At 39.8% G+C, this 16,848-nt stretch overlaps 1 protein-coding gene and 1 pseudogene across 1 annotated transcript in view, besides 1 other annotated feature; both read left to right on the top strand.

The window, feature by feature from the left end:
* The window catches only part of USP37 (ubiquitin specific peptidase 37), a 118,101-nt gene that overhangs the window by 56,386 nt on the left and 44,867 nt on the right, over window positions 1-16,848 (top strand). The window contains exons 11-14 of the mRNA NM_020935.3: window positions 1,826-1,987; window positions 13,809-13,940; window positions 14,109-14,232; window positions 16,016-16,206. Of these exons, the coding sequence (NP_065986.3) occupies window positions 1,826-1,987; window positions 13,809-13,940; window positions 14,109-14,232; window positions 16,016-16,206 (609 nt within the window). The remainder of the gene's footprint in view (window positions 1-1,825; window positions 1,988-13,808; window positions 13,941-14,108; window positions 14,233-16,015; window positions 16,207-16,848) is intronic.
* Window positions 9,851-10,422: an enhancer, noted in NCBI's record as "NANOG hESC enhancer chr2:219366267-219366838 (GRCh37/hg19 assembly coordinates)". NCBI's record gives its function as "activates a minimal SCP1, AML or CMV promoter by ChIP-STARR-seq in primed H9 embryonic stem cells {active_cell/tissue: H9 hESC(primed)}" and the evidence as "EXISTENCE:reporter gene assay evidence [ECO:0000049][PMID:30033119]".
* On the top strand, window positions 10,929-11,237 carry RN7SKP38 (RN7SK pseudogene 38; annotated as a pseudogene).

The raw sequence follows: 16,848 nt of genomic DNA, 5'->3' as shown, positions 1-16,848 counted from the left end.
AAAAGACACTTATAACTGTATTGAAGACCTAAATAGAAGGGAAAGCAAAATTTAACTGTTAAGAGAAAATACAGGAAAAAATTTCTGTGCTCTTATGGTACAAGATGATTTCTTAAACAAAATACAAGATACAAAAATCTTAAACGAGATACAAAAAAAAAAAAAGAAAAGAAAAAATTGATAAATTTCCCAGTATAAAAATTTTAAAATTAGAATGTGGGCCAGATGCAGTGGCTCACGCCTGTAATCCTAGCACTTTGGGAGGCTGAGGCGAGCAAATTGCCTGAGCTCAGGAGTTTGAGACCAGGCTCGGCAACATGGTGAAACCCCTTCTCTACTAAAATACAAAAAAATTAGGCTGGGCATGGTGGCTCACGCCTGTAATCCTAGCACTTTGGGAGGCCGAGGCGGGCAGGTCACCTGAGGTCAGGAGTTCGAGACCAGCCTGGCTAACATGGTGAAACCCCGTTTCTACTAAAAATACAAAAAGTAAGCCAGGTGTGGTGGCGCACGCCTGTAGTCCCAGCTAGTCGGGAGCCTGAGGCAGGAGAATCGCTTGAATCCGGGAGGCGGAGGTTGCAGTGAGCCGAGATTGCGCCATTGCACACCAGCTTGGGCAACAAGAGCAAAACTTCATCTCAAAAAAAAGAAAATTAGCTGGGCATGGTGTTACACACCTATAATCCCAGCTACTTGGGATTGGGAGGCTGAGACACAAGACTCGCTTGAAACCGGGAGGTGGAGGTTGCAGTGAGTCGAGATCACGCCACTGCACTTCAGCCTGGGTGACAGAGCAAGACTTTGTCTCAAAAAAAAAAAGACCTACTCTATAGGAAAGCAATTCAGAAAAGAGTAAACAACTATATGAATATGTTAGTTTCAGTAGTAATCAGGACAGTGCAAAATCAAATAACAGTGAGATCAAGTGTCTCCTTATTGGTAAAAATTAAAACTTTTTTTTTTCTTTTTTGGAGATGCCTTCTCACTTTGTCACCCAGGTTGGAGTGCAGTGGTGCAATCTGCGCTCATTGCAACCTCTGCCTCCCAGGCTCAATCAGTCTGCCCACCTCAGCCTCCCAAGTAGCTGTGACTACAGGTCCTCCCCACCACGCCTGGCTAATTTTCTTGCATTTTTGATAGAGATGGAGTTTCGCCAGGTTGCCCAAGCTGGTCTCAAACTCCTGAGCTCAAGCAATCCGCCCACCTTGGCCTCCCAAAGTACTGGGCTTACAGGCGTGAGCCACCGGACCCAGCAAAAAAATTAAAACTGATAATAATAAGTAATGTAAACATATGAGGCGATGGAAGGTCACTGTTGTTTGAAGTATAAACTGGTATAGCCTTTTTGGAAAATAATCACAATATCTCAAAAAATTAAAAATGAAGATTGAAAATACCTCCAACATTTTCACTTCTATGCATATAAACTAGAGGAATTTCTCAAGGAGATTGGGTAAGAATGTTTGTTGTGTTATTTGTAACAGTGGAAAAAGTATACTGTAAATCTGTTCAAGACTAGGTAAATGTAATATCCATAAAATGGATAACAGTGAAACTATATGTATTGTTTTCTTTTTCAAGCCATTAACATGGATTATTTTGGTTGTAGGTTAAATATGTTCTGTATTATAACCCTCTCCAACTGTGTAGGAACAGATTTGCTAATTTACGTTTGTAGAGTTTTCCCTTAAGTGATCATTATTACTGATATTTCCCTAAATTCAAGATTTTTTTCCTTAAACATTGACTTCTCTTAATCTATTCAAGGAAAATAGTAGTATTCAAAAATTTATTTTGCTTCTTCATTATTTATGCTTTTTTGTAGGACTAATGTTTCAAGCCAGACTCCCTCTGCCAAAAGAAGTTTGGGATTTCTTCCTCAGCCAGTTCCTCTTTCTGTTAAAAAACTGAGGTGTAACCAGGATTACACTGGCTGGAATAAACCAAGAGTGCCCCTTTCCTCTCACCAACAGCAGCAACTGCAGGGGTAGGTCAATTCTTTCATTTTACTTTCTTTTTTATAAAGTGATTCAATAGAAGTGTGCTTTGGTGTAAAATGTAATTAAAGGAGTCACATTAAAGTTCTAAAATATTTAGAAATTAGATCACTTATTAAAGATTTATTACATCCATAAGTAATGTTAACTTCATTTTCTGTTCACCAAACAATTTTAGAACTTTGGAATATATATAATATTCATTTTAAAGCAGAAAATGTGTATTTTCCAACCCAGTACACTTCATTCTGCTGCTGAGATACTTTCAACATTTTTTATATATTTTCCCTAGGTTCTTCATGGTTATATATATATTAAACACAAAAATGAGATCATAGTATAATAACTGTAGTAATTATAGTAGCTATCTTTTAAATTTTTTTTTTAATAGAAATGGGATCTCACTATGTTGCAGGTTGGTAGAACTCCTGGCCTCAAGCAGTCCTCCCTCCTCAGCCTCCCAAAGTGCTGGGATTATAAGCATGAGCCACTGTTCCTGGCCAGTAGCTCTATTACCTAAAGTGTTTATTACATGCCAGATACTGTCTGCTAAGTGCTTAAATTGATTTTTTTTAAATTTTAAATCTTCGCAACAAGTCTTTGAGATAGATATATTAAAAATCTGGTTTTATGAATAAAATAAGGCTTAGCAAAGTTAATTAACTTGCTCAAAGTGATATAGTCAGTAGTACAGCAGTAGTAAATCCAGGCAGTAGTGCTGCAGTTGCATTCTTAATCACTATGCTATATTGCTTCTCTGTTATCTTTTTCACTGCACATTAATCTTGGCACCTATGTATATTAATACAGAACTTTCAACCATGTAAGTGTGCATAAGGTTTCTCTTTTTTCCAAATGTAATTCAGGCTAGAGTGAAGATCGTTATACACATATGTATGTTTTTAATGCTTGTTGGAAATTTTCTGTAGGATAAATTGTCGGAAGTAAAATTGTTAAGGATTAAGACTAAGGAAGACAGTTTGAAATTTTTAATTGTTTTTACCAAACTGCTCTCTCATAACCTATTAACTTATTTGTTTTTAATCTCACTCAAAGTACTGCTTTTATACCAGCTTTAAACTTACAACATTACTTGAATGAGTGGTATTTGCCAAATGGCTTATCCGTAGTAGTTTATATGCTTCATATATTGGCAGAAAACATCATAAAATTTGCAGTGAAAACAATTCACTCTCCTTTCTGCTTACCTGTTGCTTTCTTTAATCTTCATCTTTTCTACTCTTCTATGATGTTTGCTTTCCAGTCAAATGCTTAATTTCCTTTGTTCTTCATTCTAATTGTTCAACCTCAGTTATCTTGCTGCCTCCTAACCAGACAACATTTTATATTGGTCTTATCTATCCCATTTTGTGACCATTCTTCATCTGGGTCTGTGTCTCTGTCTACCCTGATCTTACTTGTTTCATTTTCCTATTGCCTTCTCCTGTATATATTTTAGTTTACTTGTGGTTTCTGTTATTCACCTCCTTCAGATTCTTTTGAGAGCCTTGTGAGTTGCCACCCTTGGTACTCTAGGCTTCTTCAGTGTTTCTTTCATTTCTGTATAGTACCTATACCCATCTCTAGAAATACATCTTTCCTCTTTTTTAGACTTCTTCCAGGAATTAGTTTAGTGTAATTTCAAGCAGTGTAAGTACTCAGGACTAAGAACTCCTTTTAAAAAAAAAAAAGAAAAAAAAACTGAGTAGAAAACTACCAGGTCTAAAGGGTAATGGAGACTGCCTAATTGCAATGTTCCTCACAAATCCTCCAAAAAAAACCATAAGATTAACCAGGAGTACAAAGAAAAGCACACATAATCTATGCTTCAGCATTGCTAGGAGACAATACCACCACCTTTAAGTTACCTTCTTCAGAACAGAAGCAAACCAAATTCCTTCAGTGTTCCTGTTTTCTACTGGTGAAGCCTGTGGGTGCTGAGAGTTAGGGAAGGGAGCCTAAGGGATTCCATGAAAAATAATTTATAGGAGTGGAAGACTTAGATGAAGCACTGAAGAAAATCACTCCCAGAAACATAAAATCCAATAATAAGTAGCAAAATACTGAATCTGGATCTTGGTAGTTTGCAGAACTAGTTATAGGGAAGAGGCTTGAATGTCAGTGGTACCAGAATAACAGCCTCAAAGAATCATTACTTATAGAGAAGAATTAGCCAAGTCTGGAAACTTGATTTAGAAGCAAGAGAAGAAAATTAAGGATCATGTCAAAATGAAAGGGAAACAAGACGTGCCAACCTCTCTTTTTCCCCTCCCTCCACCTCCATCATTCTCATCCATTAAAGAAACTATACTTTGCTAAACTAAGTGCTTCAATTAAGCCCTATTCACAAAATGAATAGGAATGTAAAAAAGCAGGCCACTTCCATAAAAAAATGACTATAAGAAAAAAACAGAAGCATGAATCAAAATATTTCAGCCAGTGAAAATTCTGCCCCCTAGAACAAACCATGAAGTAAACCGTTTACAGTGGGTAGACGCTAAATAGAATTAAGGCCAGGCACTGTGGCTCACACCTGTAATCCCAGCACTTTGAGGGGCCGAGGCAGGCGGATAACTTGAGGTCAAGAGTTCGAGACTAGCCTGGCCAACATGGTGAAACCCTGTCTGTACTAAAAATACAAAAATTAGTTGGGCATGGTGGCACAAGCTTGTAATCCCAGCTACTTGGGAGGCAGAGGAGGGAGTATCACTTGAACCAGGGAGGCAGAGTGCAGTGAGCCGAGATTGCACCACTCTACTCCAGCCTGGACAACTGTGAGACTCCATCTCAAAAAAACAAATAAATAAATAAATAAATATAATTAAATACCTTGAAAGAAGCACTTGAAAATATGAAAAAGTAGCATGAATAAAAATCCAGGCACCACTCACACCTGTAAACCTAGCACTTTGGGAGGCCAAGGCAGGTGGATCACTTGAGGTCAGGAGTTCAAAACCAACCTGGCCAACATGATGAACCCTGTCTCTACTAAAAATACAAAAAAATTAGCTGGATGTGGTGGCGGGTGCCTGTAATCCCAGCTATTCGGGAGGCTGAGGCAGGAGAATTGCTTGAACCCAAGAGGCAGAGGTTGCAGTGAGCTGAGATCGCGCCACTGCACTCCAGCCTGGGCGACAGAGCAAAACTCCGTCTCAAAAAGAAAAAAAAAATTCAAACTGAGAATGACAATGGACAAGCAAGAATAAATGAAATGACAAATGCTTTAACTCAGAAAAGATGGAGAAGAAAAGACATATTGAAAATGAAGTTTTAAATTAAAGATACTCAAGTGAAAATAATTTCAAATGGAAATGGGCTTTAAAAAGGAAAGCCAGGGAAAAAAAGATGAAAAAAAAAAAAAAAGAAGTATAAAAAGCCAGAAAGGGCCGGGCGTGGTGGCTCACCCCTGTAATCCCAGCACTTTGGGAGGTGCATGGATCGCCTGAGGTCAGGAGTTCGAGACCAACCTGACCAGTATGGTGAAACCCCATCTCTACTAAAAATAGAAAAATTAGCCAGGCATGGTGGCGTGTGCCCGTAATCCCAGCTACTCAGGAGGCTGAAGCAGGAGAATTTCTTGAACCCAGGAGGCGGAGGTTGCAGTGAGCTGAGATCGCACCACTGCACTCCAGCCTGAGTGACAGAGTGACACTCCATCTCAAAAAAAAAAAAAAAAAAAAAAGCCAGAAAGAAAGTAGTTGAACTAGAAAAAAGGCAAAGAATACACCCATATTACATATAATTAGTGTCCCGGAAGAAGAAGATTAAAGCATTGAGACAGAAGTAGTGTTAAAAACTATAATCCTGCTGGGCATGGTGACTCATGCCTGTTATACCAGCACTTTGGGAGGCAGAGGTGGGTAGATCTCTTGAGCCCAGGAATTCGAGACCAATCTGGGCAACATAGCGAAACCCCATCTCTACAAATAGTACAAAAATTAGCTGGGCTTGGTGGCGTGCACCTCTGGTCCCAGATACTCAGGGGACTGAGGCAAGAGGCTTGCTTGAGTCCAGGAGGTCAAGGCTGCAGTGAACCATGATAGTCCACTGCACTCCAGCCTGGGTGACAGAGAGCAAGACTTTGTCTCAAAAAAAAAACAACAAAACAGCTATAATCCAAGAAGACTTCACTGAAATAAAAGTCTCGAATCTGTATATTGAAAGAGCTTTCCAGCTCTTTCAATCTGGAAAATTGACCTAGAATAATCAAGACATATCTTAGTACAACTATTAGACTTTAAAGACAAGGAAAAATCCTCAGTTCCTGAATCAAAAAGATGAAATAACTTACAAGGGCAACAGAAATAGTCTGGCATCAGACTTCTCAAAATCATCATGCAAAGCAGGATAACACTAACATCATTTTCAAGAAACTCAATGAAAGGAGGTGTGAAACAAAGATTTCATGCCAAGCCAAGATGTCAAATATGCAAGCTAGAGAAAAAAGGTTTGGAGTATAAGAACTTGGAATACTATACACACATTTGCTCTTCCTGAGGACTCTACAGAAAATGAGCTTCATGCGTCCAAGAGTAACTGGAGAAACATTGACAAAAACGTAAATGATGAACATTTCATATATTCAGTTATAGAACTAAGACAAACAATGGTGAGAATACATATAAAAGAATGGTATATAAACATTATGTCAGCTGGGCATGATGGCTAACACCTGTAATCCCAGCACTTTGGGAGTCTGAGGCAGGCAGATCACTTGAGCTCAGGAGTTCGAGACCAGCCTGGGAAACACAGAAAAACCACATCTCTACAAAAAATACAAAAAAAATTTAGCTAAGTGTGGTTGTGCACACCTGTAGTTCCATCTGCTTGGGAGGCTGAGGTGGGAGGATTGCTTGAGCCTGGGAGGTCGAGGCCACGGTGAACCGTGGTCACACCACTGCACTCTAGTTTGAGTGACAAAATGAGACACTATTTCCCCCCAAATTTTTTTTTCTGATAAAGTAGTAAGATTGCAACTAAAAGAAAATGGGTGAAGAGAGAGAAGGAAGAAAGTAGAATAATGTAGTTGACTGTTTCATAAAGTAATAGGTGTGAGTCAAAGGATACCATTTAAAATGAATAGGCTGAGTGTAATGGCTCACGCCTGTAATCCCAACACTTCAGGAGGCCAAGTTGGAGGGATCACTTGAGCTTGAGAGTTCAAGACCAGCCTGGACAACATAGTAAGACCCTGTCTCTACAAAAATAAAAAAATAAATAAAATGAGCAGGCTAGGCCAGGCACAGTGGCCCACATCTGTAATCCTAGCGCTTTGGGAGGCTGAAATGGGAGGATCACTTGAGGCTAGGAATTCAAGACCAGCCTGGGCCACATAGCAAGACCCTCTGTCTACAAATAATAAAATAAAATAAAAAATTAGCCCAACATGGTGGTACATGTCTTTAATCCCAGCTACCGGGGAGACTGAGGCTGGAGGATTGCTTGAGCCCAGAAGTTTAAAGTTTCAGTGAGCTATGGTCGTGCCACTGTGCTCCAGCCTAAGTGGCAGAGCAAGACCTTGTCTCTAACATAAAATAATAAAATGGACAGGCTAGATGATTTTAAAAATTTATGATAAAGGGGTTAACAGCAATATAAAAAGTCTAAAACTGTCTCATAAAGCAAAACTGAACTCTGTGCTGCATACTAGAAATATACGTAGAACAGTAATTCAAAAAGTATTATAATAAAGGGAGGGAGAGATTATTTAATGGAAACAATAAGAAATCAGAGGCTGCAGTCCTGATACCCAGTAAAGTAGAACTTAGGTCAGAAATTTGTATATTAGGCCAGAAACCTGTATATTTTTCCTTCCAGTTCTGTCAGTTTTTACTTTATGTATTTTATAGCTTTGTTTTTGGCACATACACATTTAGGATTATATTAATTAAATCTTAATGAATCGACCTCCCTATTGTTATGAAATGCCCCTTTTTATCCCTGATAATATTTTTCTGAAGTCTGCTGTGTCTTATATTAATAGTGACTCCACATTTTTATGATTAGATCATCCAGTCTAAATTGATGGTTGAAGTATTTAGACCATTAACATTTTTCACAATTATGGATAAGGCTGAGTTTAAGTCTACCATCTTGCTAATTGTCTTCTATTTGTTCCATCTGTCCTTGGTTACTTTTTTCTCTTTTCTTTCTTTCCTTTGTGTTCATTTTATCTCCATTATTGCCTCCCACCCCACATCATTTATACTGTTATCATACATTTTACTGCTTTTTCTTTTTCTTTTTCTTTTTTGAGATGGAGTTTTGCTCTCGTTGCCCAGGCTGGAGTGCAACGGTGCGATCTCGGCTCACTGCAGCCTCCGCCTCCCGGGTTCAAGCAATTCTTCTGCCTCAGCCTCCAGAGTAGCTGGGATTATAGGCATGTGCTACCACGCCCTGCTGATTTTATATTTTTAGTAGAGACGAGGTTTCTCCATATTGGTCAGGCTGGTCTCGAACTCCTGACCTCAGGTGATCTGCCCGCCTCGGCCTCCAAAGTGCTGGGATTACAGGCGTGAGCCACCGCGCCCAGCCCATTTTACTTCTATGTATGTTATACATCCCACAATACGTAGTTAGGATTTTTTTACAGCCTTAAAAATTCACGTACCGTGTAGTTACCTATTTAAAGTGTATTATTTGGTGTTATTGTTTTAAACAGTCCAGTGTATTTAAAGAAATTAAAAGATGAGACAGAAATGTATTTTGTATTTTCCCACATGATTTCCTGTTTTAAGTGCTCTTCTTTTGTGTAGATCTGAGTTTCTGTCTGGTATCATTTTTCCTTCTGCATGAAGAATGTCGCTTTAACATTTCTTACAGTGCGTGTCTCTTGGCAGCAAGTATTCTCAGATTTTGTTTGTCAGAAAAAGGATTTTGCTTTTAATTTTAAAAGATATTTCCATTGGATCTAGAAATCTAGCTTATATAGAACTCTAACGTGATAATGTGTTTCTTTCAGTATTTTAAAGATATCTTTTCTTTGTCTTCTTTTTTGTATAATTTCTGACTAGAAGCCTACGGTCTTAATCTTGTTTTAGTCTTAACTTTACAATTATGTACCTTGTTTCCCTAGTTCTTGCATATTCAAAATTTTTTCTCTAGCTTGGATATTTGAAAAATAGTTTGGCTGGATGTAAAATCCTTGGGTCATGCTTTCTTTCCTTGGGTTTCTTATAATGCTACTTTACTGTTACCTTGCTTTGTATTTGCTTTTCAGAAATAAGATGCCAGTCTAATTCTTCTGCCCTTGTAAGTGATTTAATCTTCCTCCTTGAAGGCACTGAGACAGTTTTTCTCTGACTGCTTTTCAAGATTTTCTCTTCGTTGCTAATTTTTAGCAGTTTTATTTTGGTGGGCTTCATTTTGATTTGTGTTTATCTCACTTGGGATTTGTTGAGCTTCTTGGATCTGTGGGTTTCTAGTTTTTATCAGATTTTGAACGTTTTTATATATTGATTTTTTCAGATTTTTTTTCTGACTCTTCTCTCTGGATTCCAGTTATATTTGATATAAATATAATTGTATTTGATATCGTCCCACAGGTTTAGTGGGAATCTATTCTGTTGCTGTCTTTTCAAGTTCAGATATTTCCTTCTACAGTGTCTAATATGCTATTAATCGCATCAAGTGAAATTTTCATTTTAAATATTGTGATTTTCATCTCTAGAAGTTTAATTTGGGTCTTTAAAAAATCTTTCACTTCTCTCATTATGTTTATGATTTCCTTTCCATTCTTGATCGTGTAGAGCATATTTTAAGTAGTTGTTTTAATATTCTTGTCTGCAGTAGTTTTGATTGTTTTGAGTCTCCTGTTTAAGTTCTTCTTTTTCATTTCTGTTTTTTTTCTTCTTTCTCAGCTGTGTGATCTGCTTAAGTTCTTTTTGAATATAGAGTATCCTTTACTCTAAGGCTAATTTGCTTCCTTTCCTAAAGCATAGTTCCTTTGGAGTCTCTGTTAACACTCTGTGAATTCATCTAGGTCTCTCTACTCTGACTGGTGTAAATTCGAACTGGTGGAATTTTAGTCCCTGTGTGAGTTCTGGGAGTTGTTTGGCCAGTAGCTCCATAGTAAACATTCTTTTCCTTGAAGTTGTTCTTGATTAGTGTCAAGAAGACTGAGTTTCACTCTGCATACACAGGTTGGTATTCAGCCAAATATTCAAGCAGACTGCTATGCAGATTTCTGGAGCTTTTCCTTTGTTCAGTTCCTTCCTCTCAAGTACTCTGTCCCAGAAATCTCAGCAACCTCAGCTTTTCGAACTCATTTCTCTCAGCTCAACTTGGTAAGATTTCTAGGCTCTGTTTGGGTGCTCCCTGAATTGCAGTTCACAAATTGCCTCCAGACAGAAAATCTGGGTAATAGTAGGACTCACATCATTTATTTTCCTTCTCTTATGGATCACTGTTTTGTGCTGCCTATTGTCTAGTATCTGAAAATAGCTGTTTTCTCTATTTTGTCCAGTTTTCTCATTGTTTATAGTAGGAAGGTAATTCCAGACTCTCAAACTTCCTCATAGGCAGAAGCAGAAGCAGTAGTTCTCTCAGGTACTCAAAATTGACATCACCCATGGGCAACACAGGAATATCATGTATTCCTGGATGTGATGCCCTTAGAAGGATACAGTGTCCACCAGACATGTGGCTCACACCTATAATCTCAACACTTTGGGAGGTCAAGGCAGGCAGATTGCTTGAGCCCAGGAGTTCAAAACCAGCCTTGGTAACATGACAAAATTCTGTCTCTACAAAAAAATACAAAATTAGCCTGGCATGGTGGTGCGCATTTGTAACCCCAGCTACTCAGGAAGCTGAGGTGGGAGGATCATCTGAGTCCGGGGGGGTCGAGGTTGCAGGGAGCCAAGATTGTGCCACTGTGCTCCAGCCTGGGCAACAGAATGAGACCCTCTCAAAAAAAAAAAAAAAAAGATTGGATGTGAGGGCGATCTGACTGTGACATCTGTCACCCCGTTGTTCACCAGGGTTGATTTGGCTGATCTGACTGGCTAGGCGGGTATCCCCTTCCTCCCTCACCACTCCATGTGTGTCTGTCGCAAACCTGCGTGCTCAGTCAAAGAGGATGACCATCCCCAATAGAGGAGGACTGGTCTTCAGCCAAGAGTATACGAGTAGCTGCACTCCCCTGCTAGAAACTCCAAACAAGCTCTCAAAAAAAAAAAAAAGGCATGACATGGTATCACTGTTTGTTCATGTGCTCTTCCAGTTTAGGCTGAATCTCATCATGAGGAAATAGCAAACCCAGTATGAGGGATGTTCTATTAAAAATAAGGCTAGGTCAGGTGAAGTGCCTCACACCTGTAATCCCAGCACTCTGGGAGGCTGAGGCAGGTGAATCACTTGAGGTCAGGAGTTCGAGAGCAGCCTGGCCAACATGGGGAAACGCCGTCTCTATTAAAAATACAGGCTGGGCACGGTGGCTCATGCCTGTAATCCCAACACTTTGGGAGGCAAAGGCGGGCAGATCAGGAGTTCAAGACAAACCTGATCAACATGATGAAACCTCTACTAAAAATACAAAAAAATTAGCCAGGCCTGGTGGTGCACACCTGTAATCCCAGCTACTCAGGAGGCTCAGGCAGGAGAATTGCTTGAACCTGGGAGATGGAAGTTGCTGTAAGCCGAGATGACACCACTGCACTCCAGCCTGGGCAACAGAGCAAGGCTCCGTCTCAAAATAAATAAATAAATAAATAAATGAATACAAACATTAGCTGCGTGTGGTGGCACACGCCTGTCACCCTAGTTATTTGGGAGGCTGAGGCATGAGACTTGCTTGAACCCGGGAGGCAGAGGTTGTAGTGAACTGAGATCACGCCACTACACTCCATCCTGGGCAACAGAGCAAGACTCTGTCTAAAAAAAGAAAAAACGAAAAAAACAGGCTGGGTGCAGTGGCTCACGCCTGTAATCCCAACACTTTGGGAGGCCAAGGAAGGAGGATTGCTTGAGCCCTGGAGTTCAATACCAGCCTAGGCAACATAGTGAGATCCATCTCTACAAAAATTAAAAAATTACCCAGGCATAGTGGCACACATTGTAGTGGGGAAGCTGAGGTGGGAGGATTGCTCGAGCCCGGGAGGTTGAGGCTGCAGTACGTTGTCATCACACCACTGCACTCCAGCCAGGACAACAGAGCAAGACCCTGTCTCAAAAACAAAAATAAAACAACCCAGGGTAGGGAGAACTGTATTCTTCAAAAATGTCAGTGTCATGTAAGAGAAAGCTGAGGACTTACTCCAGATTAAAGAAAACTAAAGAGACATACATGAAAACAGCATGTGATCCTGGACTGAATCTTGTACCTAAGTGAGGGAAGAAAAGCTATAAAGAACCTTCTTGGATCTGTTGACAAAATTGAATTAAGAAACGTATATTAGATAGAATATTGTATCAGTGTTACATTTACTGATGCTGATAATTGTACTCTGATTATTTATAAGAATGGTCTTATGAAATATACACTAAAGTATTTAGAACTAAAGGGGTTTAATAAATGCAACTTACTCTGAAATGGTTTCAGAAAAATATATAGAGAGAGGGATATTAAGTGATGAAGTGCACATTACAGAAGTATAACAGTTGGTGAATCCAGGTAAAGATTTTTGCATCTCTTCTGGAAGTCTAAATTTATTTCTAAATTAAAAGGTTTTTTTTTGTTGTTTTTTGTTTTTTTAAAAAACATAGTCTTGCTCTGTTGCCCAGGCTTGAGTGCAGTGGCGTGATCTCAGCTTACTGCAAGCTCCGCCTCCCGGGTTCAAGCAATTCTCTTGCTTCAGCCTCCCAAGTAGCTGGGACTACAGGCGCATGCCTCCACGCCTGGCTAATTTTTTGTATTTTTAGTAGAGACAGGGTTTCACCGTGTTAGCCAGGATGGTTTCCACCTCCTGACCTTGTGATCCACCCGCCTTGGCCTCCCAAAGTGCTGGGATTATAGGCATGAGCCACTGCACCCGGCATAAAAAGTTTTTAAAATATATTTGTACTTAGGAAAAAGATTTGGCAGTACCTAAACACATATATTCTATGACCCAGTAATTCCTTTTCTGAGCATTCATTTTCAGAGAAATGAATAAGTTATATTTAAATGAAAAAATAAATTATAAGTAAGAATGAAAAGCACTTTAGTTAAGCCCCCAGTCATGTTTAGCATTAATTTTGAAAATGTATACTTTTCCATTAGATCAAACTAAGTTATTATTTATTTATTTATTTTATTTATTTTGAGACAGAGTCTCACTCTGTTGCTGAGGCTGGAGTGCAATGGCACAATCTTGGCTCACTGCAACCTCTGCCTCCTGGGTTCAAGCGATTCTCGTGCCTCAGCCTGCAAGTAGCTGCGATTACAGGCGCATACCACCATGCCTGGCTAATTTTTGTGTTTTTAGTAGAGACAGTGTTCCACTATATTGGCCAGGCTGGTCTCAAACTACTGACCTCAAGTGATCTGCCTGCCTCGGCCTCCCAAAGTGCTTGGATTACAGGCATGAGCCACTGCGCCTGGCCTATTATTATAATGTCATAATGCAGTAGTTCTCAAAGTAGAGTCCCCAGACCAGCAGCATCAACGTGATCTAGTAACTTGTTAGAAATGGACATTTTTGTGCCTTCTTTTTTTGGACACATTTGTGTCCAAACCTACTGAATCAGAAACCTTGGGGTTAGGGTGTAGTAATATGTAGTTTAACAAGCCCTCCAGGTGATTCTGAAACATAAAGTGGAGAACTCCTACTATACTGAACATACTTTAGGAATTCCTGTTGCCTTCTAAAGCACTATTTCTTTAATTTTCAGCTTCTCCAATTTGGGAAATACCTGCTATATGAATGCTATTCTACAATCTCTATTTTCACTCCAGTCATTTGCAAATGACTTGCTTAAACAAGGTATCCCATGGAAGAAAATTCCACTCAATGCACTTATCAGGTAATCATTATGTACTGTACTTACTGAGTAACCTTTTACTTCATTGATTATAGAATAATGGAATTTTAGACACTCAAAAATTTTCTGTGCCATTATTAGTAATTATTCTTTAAAATATCACGCCATGTCATGTAAAACGTGCTAACTTTGTGTTTTTTGTTTTACTAGACGCTTTGCACACTTGCTTGTTAAAAAAGATATCTGTAATTCAGAGACCAAAAAGGATTTACTCAAGAAGGTTAAAAATGCCATTTCAGCTACAGCAGAGAGATTCTCTGGTTATATGCAGAATGTGAGTATTAATTGTTTTAAAACGTTTCAGAGGCCTGACACGGTGGCTCACGTCTGTAATTCCAGCACTTTGGGAGGCCTAGGTGGGCAGGTCACCTGAGGTCACTGAGGTCAGGAGTTTGAGACCAGCCTGGCCAACATGGCGAAACCCTGTGTCTACTAAAAATACAAAAATTAGCCAGGCGTGGTGGCATGCGCCTGTAATCCCAGCTTCTCGGGAGCCTGAGGCAGGAGAATTGCTTGAACCCGGGAGGCAGAGGTTGTAGTGAGCCAAGATCATACCACTGCACTATAGCCTGGGTGACAGAGCAAGACTCCATCTCAAAAAATAAATAAATAAATATTTATAAAAATAAATAAAATAGGCCAGGTGCGGTGGCTCACGCCTATAATCCCAGCACTTTGGGAGGCCACGGTGGGTGGATCATGAGGTCAGGAGTTTGAGACCAGCCTGGCCAACATGGTGAAACCCTGTCTCTACTAAAGATTAAAAAAAATTAGCCGGGCATGGTGGCACATGCCTGTAATCCCAGCTACTCAGGAAGCTGAGGCCGGAGAATCTCTTGAACCTGGGAGGCAGAGGTTGCAGTGAGCTGAGATCGCACCATTGCACTCCAACCTGGGCTACAGGGCAAGACTCTGTCTCAAAAAAATAAAAATAAAACAAATAAATAACGTGTAAGAAATCATGGAAATTGACATGATTTTAGTGTGTTTCTTGATTTTTATTTTAAAACGAGATTTGTGTATGTGTGTTCATTATAGATTGAAAAACCTGAGGAGAGGCTGGGTGCGGTAGCTCATGCCTGTAATCCCAGCACTTTGAGAGGCCGAGGCGGGTGGATCATCTGAGGTCAGGAGTTCCAGACCAGCCTGACTGATGAGGTGAAACCCCATCTCTACTAAAAATACAAAAAAATTAGCCAGGCGTGATGTCGCATGTCTGTAATCCCAGCTACTTGGGAGGCTGATGCAGGATAATCGGTTGAACCCTGGAGGCAGAGGTTGCAGTGAGCCGAGATTGTGCCATTGTACTCCAGCCTGTGTGACAAGAGCGAAAATCTGTCTCAAAGAAAGAAAGAAAGAAAGAAAAACCTAAGGAGCTGTAGTAAGATTAAATGTGACTCTTCAAATATAGATTTGATTTACCAGTGCAAGGACCTGGGCTGTGTTACCTGCGAAAATTACCTCTTTTAACAAAGTGAGGAGTTATTCATTGATTCATGTCAGTGCAACTGATATAATTATTAAGAATATATAATCTGTCATTTGTTTTTATTCACAAAATATGCAGCTCCCCAAATTCTTATAAGAATAAACCTGACATTGTTCACATATGTCATTGACTTTCAAGGGTTTTCACTGTATAAATTATAATGTTAATAAGCTATTATTTTTTGTTTGTTTTGTTTTTTGTTGTTGGTTTTTTTTTCTTTTCTTTTGAGACGGAATCTTGCTCTGTCACCCAAACTGGAATATAATGGTGCGATCTTGGCTCACTGTAACCTCTGCCTCCCAGGTTCAAGAAATTTTTCTGCCTCAGCCTCCCAAGTAGCTGGGATTACAGGGACTGCCACCACACCTGGCTAATTTTTGTATTTTTAATAAAGATGGCATTTCACCATGTTGGCCGGGCTGGTCTCGAACTCCTGACCTCAAGTGATCCGCCTGCCTCAGCCTTCCAGAGTGCTGGAATTACAGGTATGAGGCACAACACCCAGCCTCAGTAAGCTATTGTGACAAGAAATGTTTTTATCTGATTAAGGATATTGTTGTCTTATTAGGATGCTCATGAATTTTTAAGTCAGTGTTTGGACCAGCTGAAAGAAGATATGGAAAAATTAAATAAAACTTGGAAGACTGAACCTGTTTCTGGAGAAGAAAATTCACCAGATATTTCAGCTACCAGAGCATACACTTGCCCTGTTATTACTAATTTGGAGTTTGAGGTTCAGCACTCCATCATTTGTAAAGCGTAAGTAGTGTCTAAGAAATGATTTCCCTTTTTACTTCTTTATGGCAAGTGATTAAAATTCTTCTATGACATACCAAATGCCATGAATTCTTTTCTGTTTTTAAGACAGGGTCTCACACAGTTGCCTAGGCTCTTGGGTGCAGTGGCACAACCCCAGCTTATTGCAGCCTGGATCTCCTGGGATCAAGTGATCCTCCTACCTCAGCCTCCCGAGTAATGAATTTTTATCTCATCTTCCTTTCTACGTCATAGGGGAAATATAAACCAACAGATTATATCAAACCTTTTTTTCAGAGTCTTTTTCTATAGAAATGCTTGGGCTGGGCACAGTGGCTCATGCCTGTAATCCCAACAATTTGGGAGGATGAGGTGGGCAGATGGTTTGAGCCCAGGAGTTCAAGACCAGCCTGGGCAACATGGGGAAACCCCATCTCTACAAAATATATAAAAATTAGGCAGGTGTGGTGATGCACACCTATAATCCCAGCTACTTGGAAGGCTGAAGTGGGAGGATTGCTTGAACACTGCAAGTTGAGGCTGCAGTAAGCCATGATGACGCCACTGCACTCCAGCTTGGGCAACAAAGCAAGACCCTATCTCAAAAAACAAAACGAAACAAAAACGCGTGGCAGAGTGAGAACT

The sequence above is a fragment of the Homo sapiens genome, chromosome 2, assembly GCF_000001405.40.
Source record: "Homo sapiens chromosome 2, GRCh38.p14 Primary Assembly".
NCBI lineage: Eukaryota > Metazoa > Chordata > Mammalia > Primates > Hominidae > Homo > Homo sapiens.
Note: the sequence above shows the minus strand (reverse complement) of the source record. Positions and strands in the feature narration are given on the sequence as shown.